General features: G+C 39.1%; 1 protein-coding gene across 6 annotated transcripts in view; it reads right to left on the reverse strand.

The window, feature by feature from the left end:
- The window catches only part of SLC19A3 (solute carrier family 19 member 3), a 34,266-nt gene continuing 20,464 nt past the window's right edge, over nucleotides 861-14,662 (reverse strand). For all 6 annotated transcript variants that reach the window (NM_025243.4, NM_001371413.1, XM_047445927.1 and 3 more), the window contains 3 exons: nucleotides 12,987-13,179; nucleotides 5,264-5,405; nucleotides 861-4,671 (listed from right to left, as the gene is read on the reverse strand). In NM_025243.4, coding sequence (NP_079519.1) covers nucleotides 4,495-4,671; nucleotides 5,264-5,405; nucleotides 12,987-13,179 — 512 coding nt within the window. In that variant the 3' untranslated portion in view covers nucleotides 861-4,494. The remainder of the gene's footprint in view (nucleotides 4,672-5,263; nucleotides 5,406-12,986; nucleotides 13,180-14,662) is intronic.

A 14,662-nucleotide genomic window follows, 5' to 3' on the forward strand; every position in this document is an offset into this window, starting at 1 on the left:
AAATACAGATGAAGCTTTGCTCACTCACCTGCCGCTCACCTCCTGCTGTGAGGCCTAGTTCCTAACAGGCCACCGACCAGTACCAGTCCGTGGACCGGGGAAATAGGGACCCCGCTCTGAATTTTATTTTCATGAGTGGACACAATACTCTCCTGTGTTGAGTATAGAGCAGGGTGGTATTGTAGAAAGACCACAGTTTTTGTGGTCAGACATACTTGAATTCAAATTGCACCTTCACTATTTCCTGTGTGCTTGACTTTGAACCAGTTTCATATGCCTATGAGCCTCTTTCCTGATTGAGGAATCACAGTTGGGATTGATAATCAAATGACACCCCAAAGTGGCTGGTACTTATATGAGGGGTCATTATTTAAAAAATTTTTTTCATTACTGAGATACCAAATAAAAAATTTTAATTTAATTTTTCAATGTCAGGTCTACTTATTATTATTAATTTTTTTGAGATGGAGTCTCACTATGTTGCCCAGGGTGGTCTTAAACTCCTGGGCTCAAGCGATCCTCCCTCCTCAGCCTCCCAAAGTGGTGGGATTCCAGGAACAAGCCAAGGTGCCCAACCAGGCCCACTTATTTTTTTCTTCTGTTGTTTGTTCCTTTTAATTATAAATGCACATTTAGTAATCCATTCACATTGCCAAAAATATAAAACTATCATAATGGTTGCATGGCAAATCTCCAGCTCCTTATTCTTCAATGCGAATTTATTTCCCAAGAGGTTAAATGCTTTTTTGTAAAAGTCGTATTTTAATTTACTGGTGGGTTATTCATTTGGTGCAAGCATCAAACACCATGAGAATGTGATGTCTCCCTCCCATTTCCCATTACTCCACAGTAGGCAATCATTGGTATGAGTTTCAGTTGTTTATTTATTTGTTTGATTGTTGGTTTGTTTGTTCAAGACAGGGTCTCACTCTGTCATCAGGGCTGGAGTGCAGTGGCATGATCTCAGCTCACTGCAACCTCCACCTCCTGGGCTCAAGCGATCCTCCCTTCTCATCCCCTCAAGTAGCTGGGAGTCCAGGTGCAAGCCACCATGCCCAGCTAATTTTTGTATTTTTTGTAGAGACAGGGTTTTGCCATGTTGCCTAGGCTGGTTTTGAACTCCTGAACTCAAGCAATCCACCTACCTCAGCCTCCCAAAGTGCCAGGATTACAGGCATGAGCCACCGTGCCAGGCCTCATTTGTCTTTTTAGAAAAGTTATACGCATATATAAGCCAATACAGATATTTTTGTCCTTTTTATACAAATGCTGAGTTGCTGCGTTCATTATTATTTTGGTGCTTGACTTTTTTCCACTTGATAGTAGAGCTCTTAGAGTTCTGTGTCACTAAAGATCTTCCTCATTTTTTAGCAGTTAATTTTGTTATAGGTGAATATGTGAAGGAATCATAATGCATTTTTTAATCCACTTTGGGTCTCACTCTGTCGCTCAGGCTGGAGTGCAGTGGCACAATCTCAACTCACTGCAACCTCTGCCTCCTGGGTTTAAGTGACTCTTATGCTTCAGCCACCGAGTGGCTGGGATTACAGGCATGGACCACACCCGGCTAATTTTGTTGTTTTTAGTACATACAGGGTTTCATCATGTTGCCCAGGCTTGCCTCCAATTCCTGGCCTCATGTGATCTGACCGCCTCAGCCTCCCAAAGTGTTGGGATTACAGGCGTGAGCCACTGCACCTGGCCTCCTTTCCAATTTCTGACCTCTGATTTTTCTTGTTTGTCTAATTGTGATGCCTAATGCCTCCAGAATAATAAGTTAAAAAAGAAGGATAATAGACTGGGTGTGAGGTGGCTGAAGCCTGTAATCCCAACACTTTGGGAGACCGAGACGGGCGGATCACCTGAGACCAGGAGTTTGAAACCAGCCTGACCAACATGGTGAAACCCCGTCTCTACTAAATATACAAAAATCAGCCGGGCATGGTGGTGCACGCCTGTAATCCCAGCTACTCGGGAGGCTGAGGCAGGAGAATTGCTTGAACCCGGGAGGCGGAGGTTGCAGTGAGCTGACATTGCGTCATTGCACTCCAGCCTGGGTGACAGAGCAAGATTCTATCAAAAAAAAAAAAAAAAAAAAAAAAAGAAGAAGAAGAAAAAGAATAGCGGCCATTCCTTCCTTGCCTTTAATGTAAGTAGGAATGTTATTAGTTTTCTCCACTAAGTGAGTGCATTGATTCTTGGGCTGGATCTTAGTCCAGTGAAGAATTTCGGGATTTGGAGAGGAGTATACTTGAGAAACATATTAGTCCATTATCACATTGCTATAAAGAAACACCTGAGACTAGATAGTTTGTAAGAAAAGGGGTTTAATTAGCTCACAGGCTATATAGGAAGCGTGGCAACATCTGCTTCTAGGGAGTCCTCGGGGAATTTTTACTCATGGCAGAAGGCAAAGTGGGAGCAGGCATCTTCACGTGGCCAAAGCAGGAGAAAGAGAGAGTGGGGAGGTGCTACACACTTTTAAACTACCAGATCTCACGATAACTCACTGTCATGAGACCAGCACTGAGGGGACGGTGCCAAACCATTCATGAAGGCTTCACACCCATGATCCAGTCGCCTCCCAGCCGGCCCCACCTCTAACATTGGGGATTACACTTCAACGTGAGATTTGGTGGGGACACAGATCCAAACCATATCAAAATCCAATTAAAAATTTTTTTGTTTGTTTTAGACACAGGGTCTTGCTATATTGGCCAAGATGGTCTCATACCCCTACCCTCAAATTAACCTCTCACTTCAGCCTCCCAAAATGCTGGGATTACAGGTGTGAGCCACAGCTTCCAGCCTTAATATAAATCTTGACTCAGCATTCTTTATTCTCACTGTCAGACTGCTCAATGCATCCCTTATTGAAGTTTCTTGAAGTTTCGAAAAACAGGTATGTTCAGATAATTTTCAGCAGAATTCATCAAAAAATGTTAACAACTCTTTAAAATTTTTACACATTTTATTTAGCACAATTGCTACCATTTAAAAATCAGGTGTTTTGGCCAGGCATGGTGGCTCACGCCTGTAATCTCAGCTCTTTGGGAGGCCGAGGCAGACAGATCACCTGAAGTCAGGAGTTTGAGACCAGCCTGGCCAACATTGTGAAACCCCATCTCCACTAAAAATACAAAAATTAGCCAGGCGTGGTGGTGTGCACCCATAGTCCCAGCTACTTGGGAGGCTGAGGTAGGAGAATGGCTTGAACTCAGGAGGTGAAGTTTGCAGTGAGCCAAGATCACGCCATTGCATTCCAGCCTGGGTGAGAGAGCGAGACTGTCTCAAAAACCAAAACAAAACAAAATCAGGTGTTTTATTCCACTCCCCCCATCAGTGTTTTCTTATTTCTAATACTTCTAGAAACCTCCTTTAAGTTTTCCTATTTTAGACAGACACCACACAGGTGCTCTTTTTTGGGAGGAGGGGGATGAGAGTCTTACTCTGTTGCCCAGGCTGGAGTGCAATGGTGCAATCATAGCTCACTGTAGCCTCTGACTCCTGTGCTCAACCCATCCTCCCACCATGGCCTCCCAAGTAGCTGAGACTACAGGCACACACCACGCTGCCCAGCTAATTTTTTAATTTTTTAGTAGAGTCAGGTGTCACTGTGTTGCCCAGGCTGGTCTTGAACCTCTGGCCTCAAGCAAAACTCCCACCTTGGCCTCCCAAATTGCTCGGATTACAGGAGTGAGCCACTGCACCTGGCCCATAGATGCATTAACACCTGTCTATGGTGGTGGAGAGAAGGCTCACTGCCTCTCCCAGGCCACTGGGAAATGACCTTGTGTATTCTGCAAATACACAAGAGGATCTGAAGCTATTCTTGAGGGAGACTTTCAACAGCAAAACTCAGAGCACAAAATGGAAAATAATCATAAAAAAATTAAATAATAATACTATCAAATCATAACGTGAATAATGCTGTTATTAGAGTTGAAGAGAAGCCCTTAGAAATGGGACAAACATTGTAATTCTCTTAGAGAACTGTAACTTAAACAGAAATACACTTAATAGAAGAGGAAAGAAAATGGTTCATGTGACACAAAGGTCCCATGTGTTGACTTCTTTGGTAAGATCAAATAAGTATTTAAGCCTAGCAATAGGGTCAGTCCAGTTAGTATTTCTCCTCACAAATGGTGAATATCAACTCCAGGATGGCTGGAGTTTTCTCATGGTTTGGTTCCACGCCATCTGCATGTCTTTACAAGTGATAAAAACCAGAATTTTCCAGCTGCTACTAGTCACAGGGGGTCCCCAATATGGGTTGTTTAATTATGATGACGGGTCCTGTCAATTGCATCCAGTAAAATTGGTCACATAGAGAACTCATCTAAAACTGAGGTTTTGTTGTGGTTTTGAAAGGTCCATTGGAATCCAGATTTGCAAAGCATGTCAAGTTATGGCAAAACATATGCCACCCATCTCAAAATCTTTCCTTATTATTGCATAACTTTGAAAGCCACTGTTGCGTTTGTTGCGATGAGGTTAGAGTTTTGTTGACATGATGATATTACTCTCTTCCTCTGGGTGAGACACATCTGGATTCTCACTTGGAGCAGGGCTCTGTACATCCTTCTGGGATTTGGTTGAGTAGGTAATATACATGCTTCTCATTAGGAAAATTCCAGCAATTACTGCAAAATAGCTCCCATAAACTAAAAACTGGAGAAAAACAAATAATTAGCCACATATAAAATATGACCATCTATGTCAATGATAATACATCCTAATACTGTTGGTTTGCTTGGATTATGGGGTAACTGAGACCCAGGTTTTTAATATGGGTCATTTAGGTTGAACAATACTCTCCTATCAAGTAAGAAATCAAGATCAAGTAAGAAGGTGTAAGCAATACGGTGACTAAGAGTCTTGGCTTTAGAGCAGGTTGCTTGGGTTAAAATCATAGTTACTATCATCAATAGTAAAAAACAAAACAAAACAAACCCAAAAAAACACTAAAACTCATTGACCTGTCTCTATGTCTTTGTTTGGAGGCTGGTGCAATGCTACATTCAATGTCTCCAAGAATAAATTTAAGCATTGAGGTTACTTCTTACCTGCCTTATCCATGTAAATGTTGTCCTAGTTGCAATTATTGCTCAAAACCTACTTGGTGTGTTATAATATGATAATGAAGGAATTATGTATTTTTTAATTGCTTAACCAAGGAACTCAAGAAATTTAAATATTGCTTGTTGTAAGGTTGAGAAATTTTTGAGGTTACCTAGTTGAAAACAGAAGTATTGCAGCTTACCTGAATGCTGACTGGCAAGTTGAGCCCTCTCTGATCTACTACAATCACAGTCATGATGGTCTGAATCACCAAGGCAATAAAGGTGTTGATTCCAAATACCAAGGCATAGCGTTCCACATTCAGATTAACTGCAATCTGAAATCTATCATTAAACATAAATAAGCATTTTAACTATAATATACATGGATGGAAGTCTTAAAAAGATAGAACATATTGGCCACAGGGGTATTTGTGTCACCCACCTCCAGCTCCAGGTAGTCCAGCAAAGAGAGAGAGAGACTGTCTGGAAGAAAGTAAAGGAAAAGAACAAGTGTCTCTGTCTGGTAATCCAGAGAATTCTTCTGGATCTTATCCAAGACCACCAAAGCAGTAGCTCTAAGAGTCTGCTAGAACCACAGTGTTACTGGGCTTGGGGTGCTCCCTAATGTAGATACAGTTTAGATCACAACACCCAAATCCTTCTGAATACCTGGAAAGCCTTCCCACGGAGGACAGGTACAAAAAAGCCCAGACAGCAAAGACTACAATAAATACAACTCTTCAATACCCTGACACTGATGAACATCCATAAGCATCAAGATCATCCAGGAAAACGTTCTCACCAAACAAACTAAATAAGGCACCAGGGACCAATCCTGGAGAAACATATACGACCTTTTAGACACAGAATTCAAAATAGCTGTGTTAAGAAAACGCAAAGAAATTCAAGATAACACAAAGAAGGAATTCAGAATTCTGTCAGATAAATTTAATAAAGAGATTGAAATAATTAAAAAGAATCAAGCAGAAATGCTGTGGTTGAAAAATGCAATTGACATACTGAGAATGCATCAGAATCTCATACCAGCAGAACTGATCAAGCAGAAGAAATAATTAGCAAGCTTGAAGACAAGCTATTTAAAAATACAGTCAGGAGACAACAGAAAAAAGAAGAATGAGGCACACCTACAATACCTAGAAAACAGCCTCAAAAAGGAAAATCTAAGTTATTGGCCTTAAAGAGGAGGTAAAGAAATAGATAGAGGTAGAAAGTTTATTCAAAGGGATAATATCAGAGAGCTTCCCAAACCTAAAGAGATCAATATCCAAGGACAAGGTTACAGAACACCAAGCAGATTTAACCCAAAGAAGACTACTTAGAGGTATTTAATAATCAAACTCCCAAAGGTTAAGGATAAAGAAAGGATTCTAAAAGGAGCAAGAGAAAGGAAATAAATAACATACAAGAGAGCTCCAATGTCTGGCAGCAGTCTTTTCAGTAGAAATTTTAGAACCAGGGAGTGGCATGACATATTTAAAGTGCTGAAGGAGAAAAACTTTTACCCTAGAATAGTATATCCAGTGAAAATATCAAACCCGAAGGAGAAATAAAGACCATCCCAGACAAATAGAAGCTGAGGGATTTCATCAACACCAGACCTGTCCTACAAGAAATGCTGAAGGGAGTACTTCCATCTCTAAGAAAAGGACGTTCATGCGCAATAAGAAAACATGTAAAGGCACAAAACTCACTTGTAATAATAGGTACATAGAACAACACAGAATATTATCACACTGTAACTGGGGTATGTAAACTACTCTCATAAGTAGAAAGACTAAAAGATGAACCAATCAAAAATAGTAACTACAAATTTTCAAGACAAATAGTACAATAAGATATAAAGAGAAACAACAAAAAGTTAAAAAGCAGGAGGACAAAGCTACACTGTAGAGTTTTTATTAGTTTTCTTTTTGCTTGTTTGTTTATGCAAATAGTCTTAAGTTGTTATCAGCTTAAAATAATGGGTTATAAGATAGTATTGCAAGCCTCATGGTAATCTCAAATTGAAAAACATGCAATGGATACCCAAAAAGTAAAAAAGAAATTAAATTATATCACCAGAGAAAATCACCTTCACTAAAAGGAAGAAAGAAAAGGAAAAACACTGCAAAACCAGAAAAGAAATAACAAAATAACAGGAGTAAGTCCTTACTTATCAATCTAAACTCTTCAAAAGAGAGTGGTTGAATGGATTTTTAAAAAGACCCAATGACCTGTTGCCTACAAGAAAGACATTTTACCTATAGAGACATACATAGACTGAAAATGAAGGGATGGACAAAGATATGCCATGCCAATGGAAACAAACAAAAAAAGAGGACTTGTAGCTATACATATAGCAGAGAAAATACATTTCAAGACAGAAACTGTAAGAGACACAGGTCATTAAACAATGATAAAAGGGTCAATTCAGCAAGAGAATATAAAAATTGTAAATACGGCCAGGCGCGGTGGCTCATGCCTGTAATCCCAGCACTTTGGGAGGCCGAGGTGGGCAGATCATGAGGTCAGGAGATCAAGGCCATCCTGGCTAACACGATGAAACCCCGTCTCTACTAAAAATACAAAAAATTAGCTGGGCATGATGGCAGGCGCCTGTAGTCCCAGCTACTCGGGAGGCTGAGGCAGGAGAATGGTGTGAACCCGGGAGGTGGAGCTTGCAGTGAGCTGAGATCGTGCCACTGCACTCCAGCCTGGGTGACAGACCGAGACTCCATCTCAAAAAAAAAAAAAAAAAAAAAAAAAAATTGTAAATTTTTTTTAACGTATGGAGCACCCATATATAAAGCAAGTATTAGAGCTAGAAGGAGATAAGAGAATCCAATACAGTAATAGTTGGAGACTTTAAAACCCCACTTTCAGCACTGGACAGATCTTCCAGAGAGAAAATCAATAAAGAAACATCAGACTTAATCTGCACTATAGAAAAAATGGACCTAATAGATATTTACAGAACTTTTCATCCAATGGCCACAGAATACACATTGTTCTCAGCATATGGATCATTGTCAAGGATAAACCATGTTAGGTTACAAAACAACTCTTAAAACATATTCAAAAATTTGAAATAATTAATATCAAACATCGTCTCTGACCACAATAGAATAAAACTAGAAATCAACAACAAGAGGAATTTTGGAAACCATAGAAACACATGGAAATTAAACAATATGCCCCTGAATGACCAGTGGGTCAATGAAGAAATTGAGAGAAACTGAAAAATTTCTTGAAATAAATGATAATGGAAACACAACATGCCAAAACCTATAGGACACAGTGAAAGCAGTATTAAGAGGGAAGTTTATAGTTACAAGTGCCTACATAAAAAAAAGAAGAGAGGCCGGGTGTGGTGGCCCATGTGTATAATTCCAGCACTCTGCGAGGCTGAGGCAGATGAATCACTTGAGCTCCAGAGTTCTAGACCAGCCTGGGCAGTATGGTGAAACCCTGTCTCTACCAAAAATACACAAAAATTAGCCAGGTGTGGTGGTGCATGTTTGTGATCCCAGCTTCTCAGGAGTCTGAGGCAGGAGGATCACTTGAGCCCAGGAGGCAGAAGTTGCAGTGAGTAGAGATTATCACGCCAGTGCAGTTCAGCCTGGAGAACATAGTAAGACCCTGTCTCTTAAAGAAAAGAAGAAAAAAAAAGTCATCTGAAATAAATAACTTAATGATGCGTCATAAAGAACTAGAAAAGTAAGAGTAAACTTAACCCAAAATTAGTAGAAGAAAGGAAATAATAAATATCAGATCAGAAAGAAATGAAATTGAAATGAAGAAAACAATACAAAATGTCAATGAACAAAAAGTTGGGTTTTAGAAAAGATAAAACTGACAAACCTTTAGCCAGACTAAGAAAAAGAGAGAAGTCCCAAGTAAATAAAACTAGAGATGTAAAAGGAAACATTACAACCAATACTGCAGAAATTTAAAGGATCATCAGTGGCTACTATGAGCAAGTATATGCCAATAAATTGGAAAATCTAGAAGAAATGGATAAATTCCTATATACAAACAACCTATCCGATTGAACCATGAAGAAATCCAAAACCTGAGAAGACCAATAATAAGTAATAAGATTGAAGTCATAATAAAAAGCCTCCCACTAAAGAAAAGCCCAGGACCCAATGGCTTCACTGCTGAATTCTATCAAAGAACTAATTCCAATCCTAACCAAACTATTCTAAAAAACAGAGGAGGGAATACTTCCAAACTCATTCTACAAGGCCAGTGTTACCCTAACACCAAACCAGACACATTAAAAACAAAAAACAACTACAGGCCAATCTCTGATGAATATTGATGCAAAAATTCTCAACAAAATACTAGCAAACTGAATTCAATAATACATTAGAAAGATAATCTATCATGACTAAGTGGGATTTATCCCAGGGATGCAAGGATCATTTAACATATGTAAATCAATCAGTGTGATAAATCACATCGACAGAATGAAGGACAAAAACTATGATCATTCAATTGATGCTAAACAAAGTATGTGATACAATTCAACATTCCTTCTGGCTAAATACCCTCAAAAAACTGGGTATAGAAGGAACATAGTCAACATAATAAAAGCCATATATGACAGACCTACAGCTAGTACCAGATTGAATGGGAAAAAGCTGAAATGCTTTACTCTCTAAGATTTGGAACACGACAAGGATGCCTACTTTTACCACTGCTATTCAACATAGCACTGGAAGTCTTCTCTAGAGCAATCAGACAAGAGAAAGAAATAAAGGGCATCCACATTGGAAAGGATCAAGTCAAATTATCCTTGCTTGCAGACGATATGATCTTACATTTAGGAAAACTTAAAGACTCTTACCAATAAACTATTAGAACTGATAAATAAGTTCAGTATATTTGCAGGACATAAAATCAACATACAAAACTCCATAACATTTCTATATGCAAACAGAACAATCTGGAAAAGAAATCAAGAAAGTAATCCTATTTACAATAGCTACAGATAAAATACCTAAGAATTAACTAAAGAAGTGAAAGATCTTTGCAATGAAAACTATAAAACACTGATACAAGAAATTGAAGAGGACACACACACACAAAATGGAATGATATTCCATATTCATGGACTGGAGGAATCAATATTGTTAAAATGCCCATACTATCCAAAGCAATTTACAGATTCAATGCAATCCCTATTAAAATGCCAAGGATATTCTTCACAGAAATAGAAAAAGCAATTCTAAAATTTATATGAAACCACAGAAGACCCAGAATAGTCAAAGCTATCCTAAGCAAAACAAAACAAAATGAAACAACAACAACAACAACAACAAAAAACTGGAGGAATCACATTGCCTGACTTTGAATTACACTATAGAGCTATAGTAACCAAAACAGCATAGTTCTGGCATAAAAGCAGACATGTAGACCAATGGAACAGAAGAGTGAACCCAGAAACCCAATAGTGAACCCACACACCTACAGTAAACTCATTTTCACCAAAGATGCCAGGAACATACATTGGGGAAAAGACAGTCTCTTCAACAAATGGTGCTGGGAAAACTGAATATCCGTATGCAGAAGAATGAATGAAAGTAGACCCCTATCTCTCACTATATACAAAATCAAGTCAAAATGGATTAATGACTTAAATCTAAGACCTCAAATTATGAAACAACTACAAGAAAACATTGGGGAAACTCTCTGGGACGTTGGAGTGGGCAAAGATTTCTTGAGTACCCCACAAACACAGGCAACCAAAGCAAAAATGGACAAACGGGATCACATCAAGTTAAAAAGCTCCTGCACAGCCAAGGAAAGAGGCCACCCACAGAATGGAAAAACAAATTTGCAAACTACCCATGTGACAAGGGATTAAAAACCAGAATATATAAGGAGTTCAAACAACTCTACAGGGAAAAAAAGTCTAATAATCAGATTAAAAATGGGCAAAAATCTGAACAGATGTTTCTTTAAAGGCATGCGAATGGCAAACAGGTATATGAAAAGGTGCTCAACATCATTGATAAGAGAATTATAAATCAAAACTACAATGAGATATTATCTCACTTCAATTTGAATGGCTTTTATCCAAAAAACAAGCAATAAATGCTGATGAGAATGTGCAACCTCTGCCTCCCAGGTTCAAGGGATTCTCCTGCCTCAGCCTCCCCAGTAGCAGGGATTACAGGTTCTCACCACCATGCCCAGCTAATTTTTGTATTTTTAGTAGATACGGGGTTTAATCATATTGGCCAGGCTGGTCTCGAACTCCTGACCTCAGGTGATCCACCTGCTTTGGCCTCCCAAAGTGCTGGGATTACAGGCGGGAGCCACTGTGCCCAGCCGTGAATATTTTTTTTTAATGCAAAGAAATGATATAATCCTACTTTAACAAAATCTTCACATTTAAAAAAAAGCAACCTAAGATACATGATTCTGATTAAATTAAGACATTTCCATGAAGAAAATAAACATACCAACTAATTGTTTTTTCCTTTGATGATTTTTTCCCAGAGTGCTCATATTTCTGTGTTGTAAATTGTTTATAAAACATTCTTCACAAATTGAAAGCAAAACTTGATGAAGCTTTTGTCTCCACTTCTTTCATGCAATTTGAAATTCAAATGTTTCTCATTTTTTTTGGTTAATAGCAAAGCATATTTTCTGTAGTCAGCTTTAGCTGTACTTTTATATGAAACCGAATGGTTTTTTAATCATTTTCTTAAAGAGATCTCTGAGAAAAAAGTAGAAGCAAAAATGACGGGAAATTCTAAATCCCAGAAATTATTTTTAGAAAATGACTGAAAACTAGATCTGGCGTGGTGGCTCACACCTGTAATCCTACCACTTTGGGAAGCTGAGGCCAGAGGATTACTTGAGCCCAGGAGTTTGAGACCAGCCTGGGGAACACAGTGACACTCTGTCTCTACAAAAATGAAAATTAAAAATTTAGCCAGGCATGGTGGTGTGCACCAGTAGTTTCAGCTACTCAGGAGGCTGAGGTGGGAGGACTGCTTGAGCCCAGGAGATCAAGATTGTGGTGTGCTATGATTGCACCACTGCACTCCTGCCTGGGTGAGACCCTGTCTCAAAAAGAACAAAAGAAAAGAAAAACTGCTTGGTTCCATACACGACTGCAGCTAAAGGTTTCTTGTTATCTTTGCATCTACTTTTTTTAGTATCCAACTTTTTAATAACTTTCCTGAGAATCTTTTGTGTCATAAAAGTATGTGCTTAGAATTTCTCAAGCAAACAAATGAAAGTAGGAATGAAATCTAAACCTAACCATTTGAAAGCAGATCACATCACACTTTATGTAGAAAGTTGCTGGAAATAAACAAATCAAATCCTGACAATGATGCCAGATGTAGTGGCTCACACCTGTAATTCCAGCACTTTGGGAAGCCAGGGCAGGTGGATCGCTTGAGCCCAGGAGTTTGGGACCAGCCTGAGCAACATGGTGAAACCCCATCTCTACAAAATACGAAAAATTAGCTAGGCATGGTGGCACATGCTTGTCATCCCAGCTACTCAGGAGGTTGAGGTTGGGGACTCACCTGAGCCTGGGAAGTCAAGGCTGCATTGAGTCCTGATCGTGATCGCACCACTGCTCTCCAGCCTGGGCAAGAGAGCCAGGCCATCTCTCAAACAAAATAAAACAAAAAGAAAAACCTGACAATGTATCACTGCTTTTGGTCTATAAACCTACAGAGTTTTTTCCCTTGATGACTTAAGGTATATTGTAGCAATATTCAGAGAGCAAATAGTTAAATGAAAAGTTGGCTTAGTTGTGTCTAATTTAATATAAAGCAGTCAACATTTAATATTGCAATTGACTAAAATCCTTCTGAAGTTCTTAGAGAAAGTTTAGAAAGACAGAAGAGAGAGGAATACAGTTCAGTTTTAGGAGTGGTTGGTAAAACTTACACTGCTATGGTTATAAGAAGCATATAGCTGGACTTGAATATCAAATAGCCAGCATAGCACGCCCAGATATTGGCTGTGTAATGCATGAGAAATAAAGAACCGGCATTGACAACTGAGAAGACCACCAGAGCCAGCTCTCCCAGAAGGTCCCAGTTGACTTTCACATAACCCACTGCAAAGGCAGCCACAGCCCCTGAAAAAAAACATTGAAGGCAATCAAACATAATGACTTTGCATGCAGGAAAATATCAACACCCTCTCTTAAAAACCCAGGTCTCGGGTAATTCTGAAAGATAAATATATTGCTTTCACAAAATTGTGTGATCGACCTGAATGTGGATCTATCCTTTTCTCAAGCGTGTCTTCTTTTGGCTTTTCTTTTCACTTGCTATTCTTTCGGTCACTTAGTCACCATACTTTTAATTAGCATCAACTACACGCCAGACACTGTATTCTGCAGAGGGGCCAGAAAGGTTCCTAACCACAGCAGTGTAAGGAGAAATGATACATTAACCTAGTCACTCAGTACAACATGCAGGGATGGAAAAGGATGAAATAAATTCTCTGGGAATACACTGGCCTCTCTATTTGCCTTTCTTTTCTCAGTTTTTGCTGTAAGTCTTTTTCAGTGATGAGTATCAGATGTGTTACATTGAAAGTTTTAGTCTTTTTTCTTGCCCTACCCAGTTTTAGTCTTTATTATGAACCTTTAGTAATCTTAGTCTTATTTCCAATCTCCACTCTAAAGTCTTCAACATCTGACATAATTTACTTGAGAAGCTTTGGGTGAAAATATCTATATAGACTTACAGAGTTCAAGAAATTGAAATAATTGACAGTAATTAGGGTTAGCACTTTTGTGTGGTTCTCTTTAACAAAGGTAAAAGGTATTTAGGGCTGGGGACAGTGGCGCACTCCTGTAATCCCAGCACTTTGGGAGGCTGAAGGGGGTGGATCACTTGAGGTCAGGAGTTAGAGACCAGCCTGGCCAACATGGTGAAACTCCAGCTCTACTAAAAATACAAAAATTAGCCAGCATGGTGGCGGGCACCTGCAATCCCAGCTACTCAGGAGGCTGAGGCAGGAGAATCACTTGAACCCTGGAGGCAGAGTTTGCAATGAGCTGAAATCATGCCACTGCAATCCAGCCTGGGTGACAGAGTAAGACTCTGTCTAAAATAAATAAATAAACAAAAGGTATTTAGATTTCAAATTACTACATTGACATATGACTAACTTTCCCACATGTGATCATGACCACAGAGGAAAAAAAAAATAACTATTTTTCCCCCCATGGATTTGGAATGTAGGAGCAATAATTTCAGTGAAGCAATTCTGGCACAGTCCTGGTTTCCAGGAGTTAAACTGAAGCTTCCCAAAAGGGAGATAATAATAAAATAGAGGTCACACGGGTTTTCTAAAACTTTTTGTAAATGAGGGTGGGGCGAATTCTCACTTCCTAAAAAATATCTTCAAAGTCTCATTTGACATTTAAGCTTCCAGTTACTAGGAAATAAACATTTATTGTAGATTAAACTTCAAAGACAGATTTCCCTCTGATATTAAAATCCTGACTTTCACATCTCTTCCAGCCCTCATTTAAATACCATGAGAAAGCTGCTTTTGAAAGTTGTTGGTGTATAGCCTAGAATTGTTATAGGTGCATGCTAGCTAGT

This window comes from Homo sapiens, chromosome 2 (assembly GCF_000001405.40).
Source record: "Homo sapiens chromosome 2, GRCh38.p14 Primary Assembly".
Lineage (NCBI taxonomy): Eukaryota > Metazoa > Chordata > Mammalia > Primates > Hominidae > Homo > Homo sapiens.